Source organism: Homo sapiens, chromosome 19 (assembly GCF_000001405.40).
Source record: "Homo sapiens chromosome 19, GRCh38.p14 Primary Assembly".
NCBI classification, from domain to species: domain Eukaryota; kingdom Metazoa; phylum Chordata; class Mammalia; order Primates; family Hominidae; genus Homo; species Homo sapiens.
The window spans coordinates 37,179,866-37,196,682 of record NC_000019.10 but is presented as its reverse complement, the minus strand read 5'-3'; the positions used below and the strand labels follow the sequence as shown (position 1 = coordinate 37,196,682).

General features: G+C 41.8%; 1 protein-coding gene across 1 annotated transcript in view; it reads left to right on the top strand.

Annotated features, from left to right (window-relative positions):
• Positions 1-15,104, top strand: part of ZNF585B (zinc finger protein 585B) — a 28,958-nt gene extending 13,854 nt beyond the window's left edge. Inside the window, exons 3-5 of the mRNA NM_152279.4 lie at positions 6,533-6,659; positions 6,930-7,022; positions 9,439-15,104. Coding sequence (NP_689492.3) covers positions 6,533-6,659; positions 6,930-7,022; positions 9,439-11,456 — 2,238 coding nt within the window. The 3' untranslated portion in view covers positions 11,457-15,104. The remainder of the gene's footprint in view (positions 1-6,532; positions 6,660-6,929; positions 7,023-9,438) is intronic.
• Positions 15,105-16,817: the final 1,713 nt, after the last annotated feature.

Below are 16,817 nucleotides of genomic sequence, written 5' to 3'. Positions count from 1 at the left end.
CATGAAGGTCTTTGCCCTTATGGTCTTCAGGTTAAGGAGGCTGAGGAAGAGGAGAGTTTGGCCTTGCTGTTTTGGGTGGCAAAGGGGGAAGAGGTGAAGGTAAAAGGGAGGGCAGGAGAGGGAGGCACACTCGGTGTAATTTTACTGAAAAAAGAAATCTGTGTTACAAATGGACCCACATAGTTCAAACCCATGTGGTTCAAAGGTGAACTGTAATTCACATTCTCTCATGTGACTTGTACAGTGAGTCTTGTCAATGATTTTCCAGTCATAACTATTCCAAAATATTCCAAATGTTTTGGAATAATCTTTCTTTAGGAGTATATTTTTTAAAACTTTTTATTTTGAAATAATTATAGATCCACAGAGAATTACAAAATGATACAGAGGGTTCCCCCATGAATTTCAGTTATTGTAGTACACGATTCTTTTTATTCATTGCTGGATTGTTTGCTGATATTTTGTTGAGGATGTTTGTACCTAAAATTATGAAAGATACTGGTCTATAGTTTTCTTTTTTTGTGCTTTCTTTGGTTTTGATGTCAGAGTAATACTGGCTGTACAAAGTTAATTTGGAAGAGGTCTTCCTCTTTGATTTTCTGGAAGAGTTTGTGTAAAAATCACATTAATTCTTCTTCTTCTTCTTTTTTTTGAGGGGGACAGAGTTTTGCTCTTGTTGCCCAGGCTGGAGTGCAGTGGCACAATCTTGGCTCACCGCAACCTCTGCCTCCTGGGTTCAAGCGATTCTCCTGCCTCAGCCTCCCGAGTAGCTGAGATTACAGGCATGCACCACCACGCCCAGGTAATTTTGTATTTTTAGTAGAGACGGGGTTTCTCCATATTGGTAAGGCTGGTCTTGAACTCCTGACCTCAGGTGATCTGCCCGCCTCAGCTTCCCAAAGTGCTGGGATTACAGGCATGAGCCACCACACCCGGCCAAGACTAATTCTTCTTTGTAAGTTTGGTAGAATTCTCTGGCAAAACTAGGCCTAGAAATTTCTTTTCACCAACTTTTAAATTATGAATGTAATTTAATAGTTATAAGATTATTTATCTTATCTAAATAAGCTAATTTATTTAGTTTATCTAAATAAGTGTTTGTATTCCCATATTTTTCTTTTAATGGTTCCTGAATCTGTCATGATATTTCCTGTTTTATTCCTGATATTGCTGATTTGTGTCTTTTTATTTTCATCAGTCTAGTTGACTAACAGGCCAATCAGCCGCATTTTGTTGATTTTTTCTCCCCAACAACTGGATTGTGTTTTATTGACTTTTTTTTTCTGTTTTTTGTTTTGTTTTCCTGAATTTTTTTTTTTTTTTTTTTTTTTTTTTTTGAGTCAGAGTCTCGCTCTGTTGCCTAGGCTGGAGTGCAGTGGCATGATCTCGGCTCACTGCAACCTCCTCCTCCCGGGTTCCAGTGATTCTCCTGCCTCAGCCTCCCAAGTAGTTGGGACTACAGGTGCGTGCCACCACGCCCTGCTAATTTTGTGTATTTTTAGTAGAGATGGGGTTTCACTATGTTGGCCAGACTGGTCTCGAACTCCTGACCTCATGTGATCCACCCGCCTCGGCCCCCCAAAGTGCTGGGATTACAGGCTGAGCCATCATGCCCGGCCAGGTGTATTTATTTTTAAAATGACCTTTGAGATTTCTTCTTTGACCTATAGGTCATTTAACTGTGGGTTATTAATTTCCAAATAGTTTTTGCTTTTCCAGAAAGCTTTTGTTTTTATTTTTTAATTCCTTTGGAGACTTTTCTGTGGTCTTTCTGTTATTGATTTTTTGTTTGATTTCCTTGTGGAACATACTTTGTATTTTATTCATTTAAATTTGTTGAGGTTGGTTTTATAGCCTAGGGTATGGTCTATCTTGGTCATTTTTCTATGATTCTTGAAAAGAATGTGTATTCTGCTGTTGTTTGTTGCAGTAGTCTATAAATATCAATTAAATACTGTTGCTTCTTTTTCTGTATATTTGATGATTTCCTGTCTAGTATTTTGATAAATTGCTGAGGTGAGGGAAGGGTATTCAAGTCCCTAGTATACTTTGTTTGTTTGTTTGTTTTTGAGATGGAGTCTTGCTCTTGTTGCCCAGGCTGGAGTGCAATGGCGTGATTTTGGCTCACTGCAACCTCCACCTCCCAGGTTCAAACAATTCTCCTCCCTCAGCCTCCCAAGTAGCTGGGATTACAGGCATGCGCCACCATGCCCAGCTAATTTTGTATTTTTAGCAGAGATGGGGTTTTGCCATGTTGGCCAGGCTGGTTTTGAACCCCTCACCTCAGGTGGTCCATGTGCCTCGGCCTCCCAAAGTGCTGGGATTACAGGTGTGAGCCACTGCACCCAGCCAATACTTTTCTTTAAATATGTACACCATGTGGAAATAGGCATTCCTTTAACTGTGCAATTCCAAATTAGATTTTTTATTTGGAGGATCATATTTTTCAAAAACATGTTATTACGAAAAAATTTAAATATATACAAAAGTAAAGAGAATAGTATAAGCAACCTGTTCACCTATTGTACCTTTTACCCAGTTTCAGTCATCATCAACATTCTGCCATTCTTATTTCATCTGAAACCACCTTCCTACACAGCTCCTGGATTATTTTAAAGTGAATCTCAAACACAATGTTTTATCTAAAAATACTTTGATATGTATCTCAAAGAGATGAATTCTTTTTTCTTTTGTTTAGCATAACAAATAAGTCAATATCACACCTACAACAAAATAACAGTAATTCTTTGTTATCATCTAATACCCATTGCTTGCATTTCTCTAAATTGTTGTAAATATCTTTTTAAGATTGGTTCATTTTAATTAGGGGCCAAAGTCCACAAGGTGCATTTGGTTAGTATGATTCGTAAGTCTCTTACTTTTTAAGTTTTATTTATTTTTTTGAGACAGGGTCTCCCTCTGTCACCCAGACTGGTGTGCAGTGGTGCATTAACGGCTCACTGGAGCTTCGACCTCCCGGGCTCAGTCGATCCTCCGACCTCAGCCTCCCGAGTAACTGGGACTACAGGTGCCTGCCACCAGGCATGGCTAATTTTTTTGGTATTTTTTTAGGGACAGGGTCTCACTGTGTTGCCTGGGCTGGTCTCAAACTCCTAGGCTCAAGCAATCCACCCACTTCGGCCTCCCAAAATACTGTGACTATAGGCGTGAGCCCCTGCCCTGGCCTTAGTTCTCTTTTTTTTTTTTTTTTTGAGACAGAGGCCTGCTCTGTCACCCAGGCTAGAGTGCAGTGGTGCAATCTCGGCCCACTGCAAGCTCTGCCTCCCGGGTTCACGCCATTCTCCTGCCTCAGCCTCCTGACTAGCTGGGACTACAGGCGCCCGCCACTGCGCCCAGCTAATTTTTTGTATTTTTAGTAGAGATGGTGTTTCACCATGTTAGCCAGGATGGTCTCAATCTTCTGATCTCATGATCTGCCCGCCTCGGCCTCCCAAAGTGCTGGGATTACAGGTGTGAGCCACCATGTCCAGCCCTATTTGCTGTTCTTTAAACTCATGTGGTGTTTTTTTTTGTTTTGTTTTGTTTTTAAGATGGAGTCTTGCACTGTCGCCCAGGCTGGAATGCAGTGGCGCAATCTCGGCTCACTGCAACCTCTGCCTCCTGGCTTCAAGCGATTCGCTTGCCTCAGTCTCCCAAGTAGCCGGGATTCCAGGCATGTGCCACTGTGCCCAGCTAATTTTTTGTATCTTTAGTAGAGAGGGGGTTTCAACATGTTGGCCAGGCTGGTCTCAAACTCCTGACCTCGTGATCCACCCACCTCGGCCTCCCCAGTTGTTGAGATAATAGGCGTGAGCCACTGTGCCCGGCCCTCATTGTGTATTTTAATATTTATTTATTTGTTTATTTATTTTTGAGATGGAGTCTCACTCTGTCACCCAGGCTGGAGTGCAGTGGCGTAATCTTGGGTCACTGCAACCTCCACCTCCCAGGTTCAAGCGATTCTCCTACCTCTGCCTTGGGTAGCTGGGATTACAGACACACACTACCACACCTGGCTAATTTTTTGTATTTTTAGTAGAGATGGGGTTTCACCATGTTGGCCAGGCTGGTCTCGAACTCCTGACCTTAGGTGATCCACCTGCCCCGGCCTCCCAAAGTGCTGGGATTACAGGCATGAGCCACTGCGCCCGGCCTTATTTTATTTTTTTTTTTTTTGAGACAGGTTCTCGCTCTGTCACTCAGGTTGGAGTGCGGTGATGCAATCGTGGCTCACTGGAGCCCATCTCCCCATCTTTTTGTTCTTGTCTTTGCTGGGCAATGTCCCCCTTACCCCATACTTTGTATTACTCTTCTTATCTTCCAAGTTAAATTCTTCCGCTCTATGAAATGTAAACTTATTTCCTCATGTAGAATGCACTTTTTCTTCTTTTTAGCCCTCAGGGTGTCTCAGATAGAGATCTACTTTTCAGCACCTTAATGAACTTAATGTCTTCACTTTTTCAAACTTTGGTCTTATTTATTTTCTATGTATTTCAGGTTGCGTGAAGACTAGTAACATAAATAATTCATTTCTGTGTCCTCAGGAGTAGCATAATGACTGGTCCTAAATTGATCAGCCACTGTGTGGCAGGTTGTTCATCCATGTGCTAGAAGACTAAAAGGCAGCCTATTTCTTTCTTTCTTTCTTTTTTTGAGATGGAGTCTTGCTCTGTATCCCGGGCTGGAATGCAGTGGCATGATCTCGGCTGACTGCAACCTCCGCCTCCCAGGTTCAAGCGATTCTCCTGCCTAAGCCTCCTGAGTAGCTGGGATTACAGGTGCTCGCCATGCCCGGCTAATTTTTTGTATTTTTAGTAGAGACAGGGTTTCACTATGTTGGCCACACTGGTCTTGAACGTCTGACCTCGTGATCCACCTACCTCGGCGTCCCAAAGTGATGGGATTACAGGCATGAGCCACCGGGCCCAGCCAAGACAGCCTATTTCAATGGCCAGTTTTGAAAAATGAGTGATTGACTGACTGTAGAACAGAACAAATAGCTGGAATTCTTTGTTAGATTTCTGTGTTCCACAAATTATGTAAAACTAGATTTTTTTTTTTTTTTTAGACAGAGTCTCCCTCTGTCGCTCAGGCTGGAGTGCCGTGGCATAATCTCAGCTCACTGCAAACTCCACCTCCCAAGTTCAAGTGATTCTCCCTCCTCAGCCTCCCAAATAGCTGGGACTACAGGCACGTGCCACCAGCCTGGCTAATTTTTTGTATTTTTAATAGAGACGGCATTTCACCATGTTGGCCAGGCTGGTCTCGAACTCCAAACCTCAGGTGATCTACCTACCTTGGCCTCCCAAAGTGCTTGGATTACAAGCATGAGCCACCGTGTCCGGCCCCCTCTGACATTCTTGCTTGGATTACAGGCGTGAGCCACTGCACCCCAGCTAAAACTGGATATTTAATATGTGACCTATGTAAAATATTATTTCTTAGAAATTTCTTATCACTCAGGTGTATACATTTGTCACAAGGTCAAATGGCAAAATAAAGATTGTTGCATTTATTTGTATTGTACTAAATTTTACCTTATCAGGTTAACAAATGTTACACCCTAGTTAATAATTTGCATTTTGTGGTGCTTAAGAGAAAGTGTAGTGATGACTGCAATTTACATTGAAATACATAAAAAAAAGTAAGATGGATCAATGTGTGATGAAGCAAGTAGGGTAAGGTGTTAATGGTAGATCTAAGTAGTAGATATATAGGTTTTTACTGTACAATTCTTTCTAATTTTCTGTATGTTTAAAATTTTTCGTAATAAGCTATTAGGGAAATGAGTGGCAGGTTCTTTAAAAAGGAAGTAAATTGGCCAGGCGCGGTGGCTCACTCCTGTAATCCCAGCACTTTGGGAAGCCGAGGCGGGAAGATCACGAGGTCAGGAGATAGAGACCATTCTGGCCAACATGGTGAAACCCAGTCTCTACTAAAAATACAAAATTTAGCCGGGTATGGTGGCACATACCTGTAATCCCAGCTACTCAGGAGGCTGATGCAGGAGAATTGCTTGAACCTGGGAGGTGGAGGTTGCAGTGAGCCAAGATCACGCCATTGCACTCCAGCCTGGGCCAAAAGAGTGAAATTCCATCTCAAGGAAAAAAAACAAAAACAAAAACAAAAACGGCCAGATGCGGTGGCTCAAGCTTGTAATCCCAGCACTTTGGGAGGTCGAGGTGGGCGGATCACAAGGTCACAAGGTCAGGAGATTGAGACCATCCTGGCCAACATGGTGAAACCCCGTCTCTACTAAAAATACAAAAATTAGCTGGGTGTGGTGGCACGTGCCTGTAATCCCAGCTACTCAGGAGGCTGAGGCAGGAGAATCACTTGAACCCGGGAGGTGGAGGTTGCAGTAAGCCAAGATCGCGCCACTGCACTCCAGCCTGGGGAACAGAGCAAGACTGTCTCAAAAAAAAAATGAAGTAAATTAAAAACAACAAAACCCATGTTCCGTAATCCCATATATAGTCACTCCACCGTGCAAAGCTGACTATGCACATTGAACAGGAATGTGCCCTTACAGGGATCAGTGTCCTTCAGGGATGTGGCTATCGATTTCAGCAGAGAGGAATGGCGGCACCTGGACCTTTCTCAGAGAAACCTGTACCGGGATGTGATGCTGGAGACCTACAGCCACCTGCTCTCAGTAGGTAAGCACAGTCACCTTGGTATCTGAAAGGAGGCCTCACTGAGAGTGTTTTCATTCTCAGTTGACGAATGCTGTTGGCATCTTAGATAGGTGATGGTTTTGTCCTTTTTTCCTCCAGGGTTCTCTGTTTGTTTAGGGTACTCAGAATATTACTCAGAGATATCTGGTTACTTTCCTAAAGAACAAACCATCATTGAACAATAAGACTGTATTTGTTGGGCTCTGAAACGTAATTAGCTGGACCCAGACCTTTATCATTTCCCATGAACAGGGTATCAAGTTCCTAAACCAGAGGTGGTCATGTTGGAGCAAGGAAAGGAACCATGGGCACTGCAGGGTGAGAGGCCACGTCACAGCTGCCCAGGTGAGTGAAGTGAGGTGAATGTGACTCAGGTTAGATGGGAGACAGGAGGAAATCTCAGCTGTCTTGAAAAACACTGGAACCTGTGAAGTGCTATTAAGACCACTCTTCAGTAAGGCTCTGAATTTTTTATATTGCTTGATGCCTCTCAGATCACTAAATGCCTTCTACCTGGATGACCTTCCTTGTTGATTATAAGTCATGTGCCAGTCAGCCTCATTAAAGATAAATCTTTATTATATTCCTTTTCTGTAACAGTCTTTTTTTCCCTGCCTTCCATATTGTCCTAGAGTCTCTCGTTTACATCCAGGTATTCCTGGATCTGCTTTCTTTCAAAATTTACTCTGTGTCACACACTCCCACTCGTGCTACACCCCTTTTATTTCTGTCTTTCTCACTGTGAGATGCCTCAGAACTTTATCTCTGGGCCAGATACAGTTGCTCATGCCTGTAATCCCAGCACTTTGGGAGGCCAAGGTGGGTGTATCTCTTGAGGTCAGGAGTTTGAAACCAGCCTGGACAACATGGCAAAACCCCATCTCTACTAAAAATACAAAAATTAGCTGGGTGTAGTGGTGCATGCCTGTAATCCCAGTTACTTGGGAGGGTGAGGCACAAGAGTCACTTGAACCCGGGAAGTGAAGGTTGCAGTGAGCCAAGATCATGCCATTGCACTCCAGCCTGGGTGACAGAGCAAGACTCAGTCTGAAAAAGAAAAAAAAAAAAAAGAACTTTATTTCCAGTCAGGCTCTCTAACTATTTTTGCTATAGTAATGGCCATGAGATTTCTCTTATCTTCCCAGTCCTTCAGGCCTTTCATCCAGCTAATGACTTGGGAATCATTGTCACTTAATCTTTGGGAATACCTCTCTGCTGTGTTTGACATGGCATGGATTAATCACCCTTTCTCACATTTCCTTCTGATGTTGCTTGAGCGATTCCACACTGTTAGGGTCTCTCTTCCTGGTTGGCTTTGTTTGTTTGTTTGTTTGTTTGAGAGGGAGTCTCACTCTGTCGCCCAGGCTGGAGTATAGTGGCGCAATCTTGGCTCACTGCAACCTCCACTTCCCAGGTTCAAATGATTCTCTTGCCTCAGCCTCCCGAGTAGCTGGGATTACAGGGGTGGGCCACCACGCCTGGCTAATTTTTGTATTTTTATTTTTATTTATTTATTTTTGAGACGGAGTTTCACTCTTGTTGCCCAGGCTGGAGTGCAATGGCACGATCTCGGCTCACTGCAACCTCCGCCTCCCGGGTTCAAGCGATTCTCTTGCCTCAGCCTCCCACGTAGCTGGGATTACAGGCATGAGCCACCACGCCCAGCTAACATTGTATTTTTAGTAGAGTTGGGGTTTCTCCATGTTGGTCAGGCTGGTCTCCAACTCTCGACCTCAGGTGATCCGCCCGCCTCAGCCTCCCAAAGTGCTGGGACTACAGGTATGAGGCACCATGCCCGGGCTTGTTTGTTTTTGTCATTGCTTTATTTTTATATTTCACCTGATGAGGTTTGAGTTTAATCATTGTCTTTAGTTTAGGACACACTATGACCATGAAAATGTGGGTGAAGATTCTCATTTTATTTTTGTGATAATATCCCCTTTTCTCTCTTTCCCCTCACCCATCTGCCTTCCCACCAGAAGCCACTGTTTTGTATAATGGAAGCATTTTTTAATTCGTGCATGTTGTAAAATTTAAAGTGAATTAGGGGCATGGATCATTAGTTTATATAAATCTTATTATGCTATATATCATGTTTTTTGCCTTTTTCCATGTCTATCCATGGTGTTATCTGTTCATCTAGTTTATTTCTTTTAACTGCTGAATTGTTCCCCAGAATGTTTCATTTAAGTAGTGTCACACCCTTCTCATGAAATTACTCACCCTTACCCTTTTCTCTGTGTTCAAGCTGGATAAGCCATTTTTACCTTCCCCTCTAGCCTCTGCTAGCTGCTCTATAAGCAAAAAGTGACTTATTATCCCTTGAAAAAGTGTTTGGATTTCAAACCTTATTACAGGGAATCTCTGGAAAAAAAAAAGACTTCTTTCCACAATGAAAGGGAAGATGATGATAGAGATGATGTGAGATTGTATTTCATTCTAGAATAACAGTGACAGACTGATAACCAGATAGAATATTATCAGAAAAGAAAATAAGTATCTAAGTGATGTTGCTTTAATCAAGAAAATATTGACTACAAATAGGCATTATGAATATAAGGCTATCAGAAGGATAATTCATGTGAACCCAAACATTTTACATCCCCCTAAAAACCCTATCAGTGTGACTTATTTGGAAATGGCTTGAAGCATAATTTAGATCTACACATTCATGATAGAAACGATGCTTCAAAGAATGTTAAGAAGAGTACTAACTATGGTAAAATGTCTTTCTATACTTACTGTGAATGTACTCCAACAGGAGAGAAATTATGGGACCATAATCAACATAGAAAAATCATCGGTTATAAACCAGCTTCCTCTCAAGATCAAAAAATTTATTCTGGGGAAAAATCCTATGAGTGTGCTGAATTTGGAAAGAGCTTCACCTGGAAGTCACAGTTCAAGGTACATCTGAAAGTTCCTACAGGAGAAAAACTCTATGTATGTATTGAATGTGGGAGGGCTTTTGTACAGAAGCCAGAATTCATCACACATCAGAAAACCCATATGAGAGAGAAGCCCTATAAGTGCAATGAATGTGGAAAATCCTTTTTTCAAGTATCGTCTCTTTTCAGGCATCACAGAATTCATACCGGAGAAAAACTATATGAATGTAGTGAATGTGGGAAAGGTTTCCCTTATAACTCAGATCTCAGTATACATGAGAAAATTCATACTGGAGAGAGACACCATGAATGCACTGACTGTGGCAAAGCGTTCACACAAAAGTCCACACTCAAGATTCATCAGAAAATCCATACAGGCGAGAGATCCTACATCTGTATTGAATGCGGGCAGGCCTTCATCCAGAAAACACAATTGATTGCACACCGAAGAATTCATAGTGGAGAAAAACCATATGAATGCAATAACTGTGGCAAATCCTTCATTTCCAAGTCACAACTTCAGGTACATCAACGTGTTCACACAAGAGTGAAGCCCTATATATGTACCGAATATGGGAAGGTCTTCAGCAATAATTCCAACCTCATTACACATGAGAAGATTCAAAGTAGAGAGAAATCTTCCATATGTACTGAGTGTGGGAAGGCCTTTACCTACAGGTCAGAGTTGATTATTCATCAGAGAATTCACACTGGAGAGAAACCTTATGAATGCAGTGACTGTGGGAGAGCCTTCACTCAGAAGTCAGCACTCACAGTGCATCAGAGAATTCATACAGGAGAAAAATCGTATATATGCATGAAATGTGGACTGGCCTTCATCCGGAAGGCACACTTGATTACACATCAAATAATTCATACTGGAGAGAAACCTTATAAATGTGGTCACTGTGGGAAATTGTTTACTTCCAAGTCACAACTCCATGTTCATAAACGAATTCACACAGGAGAAAAGCCCTATGTATGCAATAAATGTGGGAAGGCATTCACCAACCGGTCAAATCTCATTACACATCAGAAAACTCATACAGGAGAGAAATCTTATATATGTTCCAAATGTGGAAAGGCCTTCACCCAGAGGTCAGACTTGATTACACATCAGAGAATCCATACTGGGGAGAAGCCTTATGAATGCAATACTTGTGGAAAAGCCTTTACTCAGAAGTCAAATCTTAATATACATCAGAAAATTCACACTGGAGAGAGACAGTATGAATGCCACGAATGTGGGAAAGCCTTCAACCAGAAATCAATACTCATTGTTCATCAGAAAATTCATACAGGAGAGAAACCCTATGTATGCACTGAGTGTGGAAGAGCTTTCATCCGCAAGTCAAACTTTATTACTCATCAAAGAATTCATACTGGAGAGAAGCCTTATGAATGCAGTGACTGTGGGAAGTCCTTTACCTCCAAGTCTCAGCTCCTGGTGCATCAGCCAGTTCACACAGGAGAGAAACCCTATGTGTGTGCCGAGTGTGGGAAAGCCTTTAGTGGCAGGTCAAATCTCAGTAAGCACCAGAAAACTCATACCGGAGAAAAGCCCTACATTTGTTCTGAATGTGGGAAGACCTTTCGACAGAAGTCAGAGTTGATTACACATCACAGAATTCATACTGGAGAGAAACCTTATGAGTGCAGTGACTGTGGGAAGTCTTTCACTAAAAAATCACAGCTCCAAGTGCATCAGCGAATTCACACTGGAGAGAAGCCTTACGTGTGTGCTGAGTGTGGGAAGGCCTTTAGCAACAGGTCCAATTTGAATAAACATCAGACAACACACACTGGAGACAAACCCTACAAGTGTGGCATCTGTGGGAAAGGCTTCGTTCAGAAATCAGTGTTCAGTGTTCATCAGAGCAGCCACGCTTGAGAGAAACAGTGTGAGAAAACCCCCCTGAGGGTTGGGTCTGATTGTACACTGTTGCACGCATGCAGCAGAAAAATATGTATATTATTGTAAATAGAAATGACCACATCAGAATGTCACACATGGCTGTTCTGGAGAGGGCCTCTGAGAAGGCACTGAATGAGGCGAGGGACCCTTCCTACATTGTCACCATCCCCAGTAAACCTTGGGTCATTATTCATACTGACAAGGAACCGAGTCAATTTGGTGAATAGGAAAAGCCTTCTCATGAAAACTACAATAGAATACTGTTACCAAATTCTTCATAAGAAAGATCATATTATGGGAATGATAATCCTGTTTACTGTGGATTAGGTATAGTGCCAACAGTTTGAATGGTAAGACAACATAATATATATGATAGTGATGAATCCTTCTGTGAGTTGTTTGTTCCAGAACACACTGTCTAGTAGAATTGTGGGTATTTTCTTCTTTTGAATCGAACACAGTTGTGCATATCCAATTCCCCATTGAGTATTTCTATCAAGCAAGAGATACTGCAATAAGACAAACTCCCTGTGTATTCAGACACAGACCTCAGAGCGTATGTTGAGTCCCCATTGTCATAGAAAAAGACTTACAGTCCCCTTCATTATCTGCCAGGACTCTCTCTGAGCCCCACAGGTTCTCAGCACATTGTGTTTGACACCCAGCACAGTGTTTTTTCTTTTTCTTTCTTTCTTTCTCTTTCTTTCTTTCTTTCTTTCTTTCTTTCTTTCTTTCTTTCTTTCTTTCTTTCTTTCTTTCCTTCTTTCTTTCTTTTTCTTTCTTTCTCTTTCTTTCTTTCTTTCTTTCTTTCTTTCTTTCTTTCTTTCTTTCTTTCTTTCTTTCTTTTTTTGAGACAGAGTCTTGCTCTGTCGGGCAAGCTAGAGTGCAGTGGCGCTATCTTGGCTCACTGCAACCTCCGTCTCCCGGGCTCAAGCAATTCTCCTGCCTCAGCCTCCTGAGTAGCTGGGATTGCGTGTGCCACCACGCCCAGCTAATTTTTGTATGTTTAGTAGAAACGGGGGTTTCACCATGCTGGCCAGGCTGGTCTCGAACTCCTGACCTCATGATCCGCCCGCCTCGGCCTCCCAAAGTCCTGGGATTACGGACGTGAGCCACTGCGCCCGGCCCAGCACAGTGTTTTGTACACTCCCACCACCCTCAAGAAAGCCTTTGAGGTTAGGATTTTCAGGTCATCTGGGAGAACTTAAATTCTTCCTTCTGCTATTACAATTCTTCTCACTCAGTTGCCTGCCTCTTTTTTTTTTTTAATTTACTTGTGACTGAGTTGAAGCCCAGCATTTTACTTTCCTTAATGATCTGACTTTCATAAGTTGATAAGTCATGAAATCATTATCTTACATTATATGAGATATGAGATAAATCATAAATCATATGAAATTGATAACTCATATGAAAACCAACCCCACCATATGTTCACTGTCTACTTGTGTCCATCTTCGTCCCACGCACCCCACAAGGACCTTCCCCGCCATGTGCCTCAAACATCAGTTCCTGACTCAGGGCCTTTGTATTTGCAGTGCCCGTTGCAAAGAGCACAATTCTTTATTTTATCTGTGGCTTGTCCGTCATGTCTTTTTTTCCATGACACCTCCACACAGGCCTTCCCTGCCTGCCTGGTTTAAAATTCCAGCCCCTTACCCTTCCTCCTTTATTCTTCTCCCTAGCAATTTCCACCATGCTGCCTGGTGTATTTTCCTCATTTCTCTGTGGCTTCTACACTAGAAAATATTTCCCTTTTGTTCACCACTATGAGTCTAGACCCATGACTGCCATACAGCAGGCATTCCATAAATGCACCTGTGGAGAGTTGACCCATGCTTGTTGCGTGACTTCTGTCTGATTTTTTTCTGTGTTGCAGCATAAGAAGCGCTAATAGGGAGAACCAACTTGGCTAAAACACACCAGGCTTTTTCACCTCTAGTCTGTACCTGGGCTGTATCCCTTCTCAACCCTAAAGCTAAAAAGTCATTGTGAACCTTTTGGTCTGATGCTAAAGAAGGGAAAACAGGTACAGGAAATCCCATGTGGATGCTTGCTTCCAGGATTTCCTGCCATGATTCCAGAATCCCACAGCTCCAACATGATTGCAAAAGACTCCCTGCTCATTTTTCCTCAGCATGCACAGCGCTGTCCTGTCTCAGTTGCAACTCGACAGAGCCGCATTTACTCCAGAACCCAATCCACACACCTGCTCATCCTGCCCCGAGAGGAGTGCCTGAAGCCAATAGCAGGGAACTAGAGCAGACTTGGGTGGATCTTCATTGGATATTAGGTATCTTGCCCTAGATAGGCAGCAGTGGCCTTACAGATGCTGACAGATGATCTGATTAGATGCACAGTTGCTGGGTGGCGTCTGGGGCCAGTCTATTGGCAGTTCTGGGAGTGGGAACTATTTGGGCTCTGCAAAGATGGTTTCACCTTTAAGAAGGGCAGTATGGGGAGGTGAAGATGGGGCCCAAAGGATAGAACATAGTCAAAGAAGCAGGGCCACAATGCCCCTTTAATTCCCAAGCCCTAGTTGGGCAGTGCTTGGTGACACATCCCATTACCTCACCTTAGATCAATGTCTACTGAGCCATCATTAGCTCTGCTTCCTCACTTCTTCACAGTATCTGATGGCCCATCACATGCTGCTCAACATCTTAGACCAATGTCTGCTCACCCATTACCTCCCTTCACCTCATCCAGCACTGTATCTGAAGCTTCACTATTCTTCCTTCAGTTTTGGATATTTTGTGATACAACATTATCCCCAACTTAGGACAATGTCAGCTGACTCTCAGGAGGGTGCCTGGAGATCACCTCTTCCTTCCTAACATACCCTAGAACAAGGTCTGGTCCCCTTCATTATTCCCATTTTACCTTACTCCTAAGTGTATCACTCCTCATGAATTCCAGGAAATATGGAGGAAAACACATTTCACTGTACATGACTTTCAATAATTTCTCCTTTATATTTATTGTAACGTGATATTTTAGTGCTGACATATATATGTATATGTATGCCCATTTATATAAAAGACTAGTTTTTAGAGAAATTTTAGGTTCACAGCAAAATGGGGCAGAAGGTACAGAGATTTCCCATATATCCCCTACCCTCACATATACACAGCCTCCCCCATCATCAACATCCCCCTTCAGAGTGGTACATTTGTTACAATTGATGAAACTACATTGACACTATCGGCCAAAGTCCATGGTTTAATTAGGGTTCAGTCTTGATGTGCATTCTGTGGGTTGAGACAAATGAATAATGACATGTATGCATTATTACAGAAGGATAAAGAGCCGTTTCACTGTCCCAATAATCCTCTGTGTTTCGCCTACTCCTCTAAACTCCTGGCTATTTTCTTTTGTCTCCATAATTTTGCCTCTGAACCATAAAGTATGCAGCCTTTTCAGATTGATTTGTTTCACTTAGTAATGTGGATTTAAGTTTCTTCCATGTCTTTTCGTAGCTTGCTAGCTCTTTTTTTTTTTTTTTTCTCATTGAATAATATGCTATTGTCTGGAAGTACCATGACTTATTTATCCATTCACCTACTGAAGGACACCTTAATTGCTTCCAAGTTTTGTTGATTATGAATAAAGATGCTATAAACACCTGTGTGCAGGTTTTTGTGTGAACATGACTGTAATATTTTAAGGTCGTATTTATTGAGGTATAATTTACATACAGTAATATTCACCCTTTTTAGTGTGGAATTCTCAAAGTTTTGACAATTACATCATGCAGTCAATACCACAGTCAAGACAGAGAACAGTTCCCTCACTTCCCTACATTTCCTCCTATTACTTTTTAGTCCATCCCTTTGCCCACCCCCAGGCCTTGATGATCACAAGCCCATTTTCTGTCTGTATAATTTTGCCTTTTCCACATGTTGTATAAATGGAGACATCCTGTGTGTGTCTCTGTCTGTTTATATATGTGTATGTATCTCTCTTTTTGAGTCGGACTTGTTTCATTTAATGTGATGTATTTGCGATCTATCCATATTGTTATATGAGATAAAAATGGAAAATAAGGTGATGAAAAGATGCTCGACATCTTTAATTTTCAAGAAAATGAAAATGAAAACCACAATGAGATACCTGTACACACCTTTTAGCATGCCTAAAAATAAAGACATAATGCTGAGAGTTGGCAACAATGCAGAGCAATGGAAACTTTCATGCATTGTTGGTAGAAATGTAAAATGTTACATTCACTTTGGGCAAAAAGTTTGGCAGCTTTTTTTTTTTTTTTTGAGATGAAGTTTTGCTCTTATTGCTCAGGCTGAAGTGCAATGGCATGATCTCGGCTCCCCACAACCTCCACCTCCCAGGTTCAAGCGTTTCTCGTGCATCAGCCGCCCAAGTAGCTGGGATTACAGGCATGCACCACCACGCCTGGCTAATTTTATATGTTTTTAGTAGAGGTTTAGTTAAGGGTCTCTCCATGTTGGTCAGGCTGGTCTCGAACTCCTGGTCTCAGGTGATCTGCCCGCCTCAGCCTCCCAAAATGCTGGGATTACAGGCGTGAGCCACCATGCCCAGCCTTGACAGCTTCTTATACTGTTAAACATACACTTATCATATGACCCACCAATCCCTCTCCTAGGTATTTGCCCTAGATAAGTGAAAAATTGTTTATATAAAAACACGGGTACTCAAATTTCACAGCAACTGTATAATTGCCAAAATTAGGAAACAACCCAAATGTAACAGTGGGTGACTAATTAAACAGTGGGTGACTAATTAAACATCTATACAATAGAATACTACCCCAACATGAAAAGAAGTGATTTATTGACACTGGCTGCAACATGGATGAATCTCAGAAGTACTCTTTTATTTTACTATGTGATAGTTTAAATGACATTTGAAAAATTATTAGATACTAGATTATAAATATAGATTTATGTATTTTATTTTATGTGTGCATATCATACACTGTATATTGTGTTGACAGTATGTTATAGCACATTATGATATTATACCTACTACAAAATAGTTTCCATTTTATATAATATATAGTATCGTATGATTATATAATTTTTATATTTTATATATCAAACTTTCATGTAACATTTTAGTTATTTCTACTTTTACATAATCACATTTAATGTTTATAGTATAAAGTTATAACTATAATAACGGGTCATAGGGTTCAGACAGCCTGCAGTTGGAGGTGGTCAATATTTTTATTGTTTGTCAAGAATCCCAATTCTGGCTGATTTAGCACCAAGGAAGCTTTCTCCAGCTTTGGGCTTTTGCACCAACTGTGTTCTCTGGGCATACACTGCTTCCCCAGTGCCCATGCATCTTGCTTTCTTC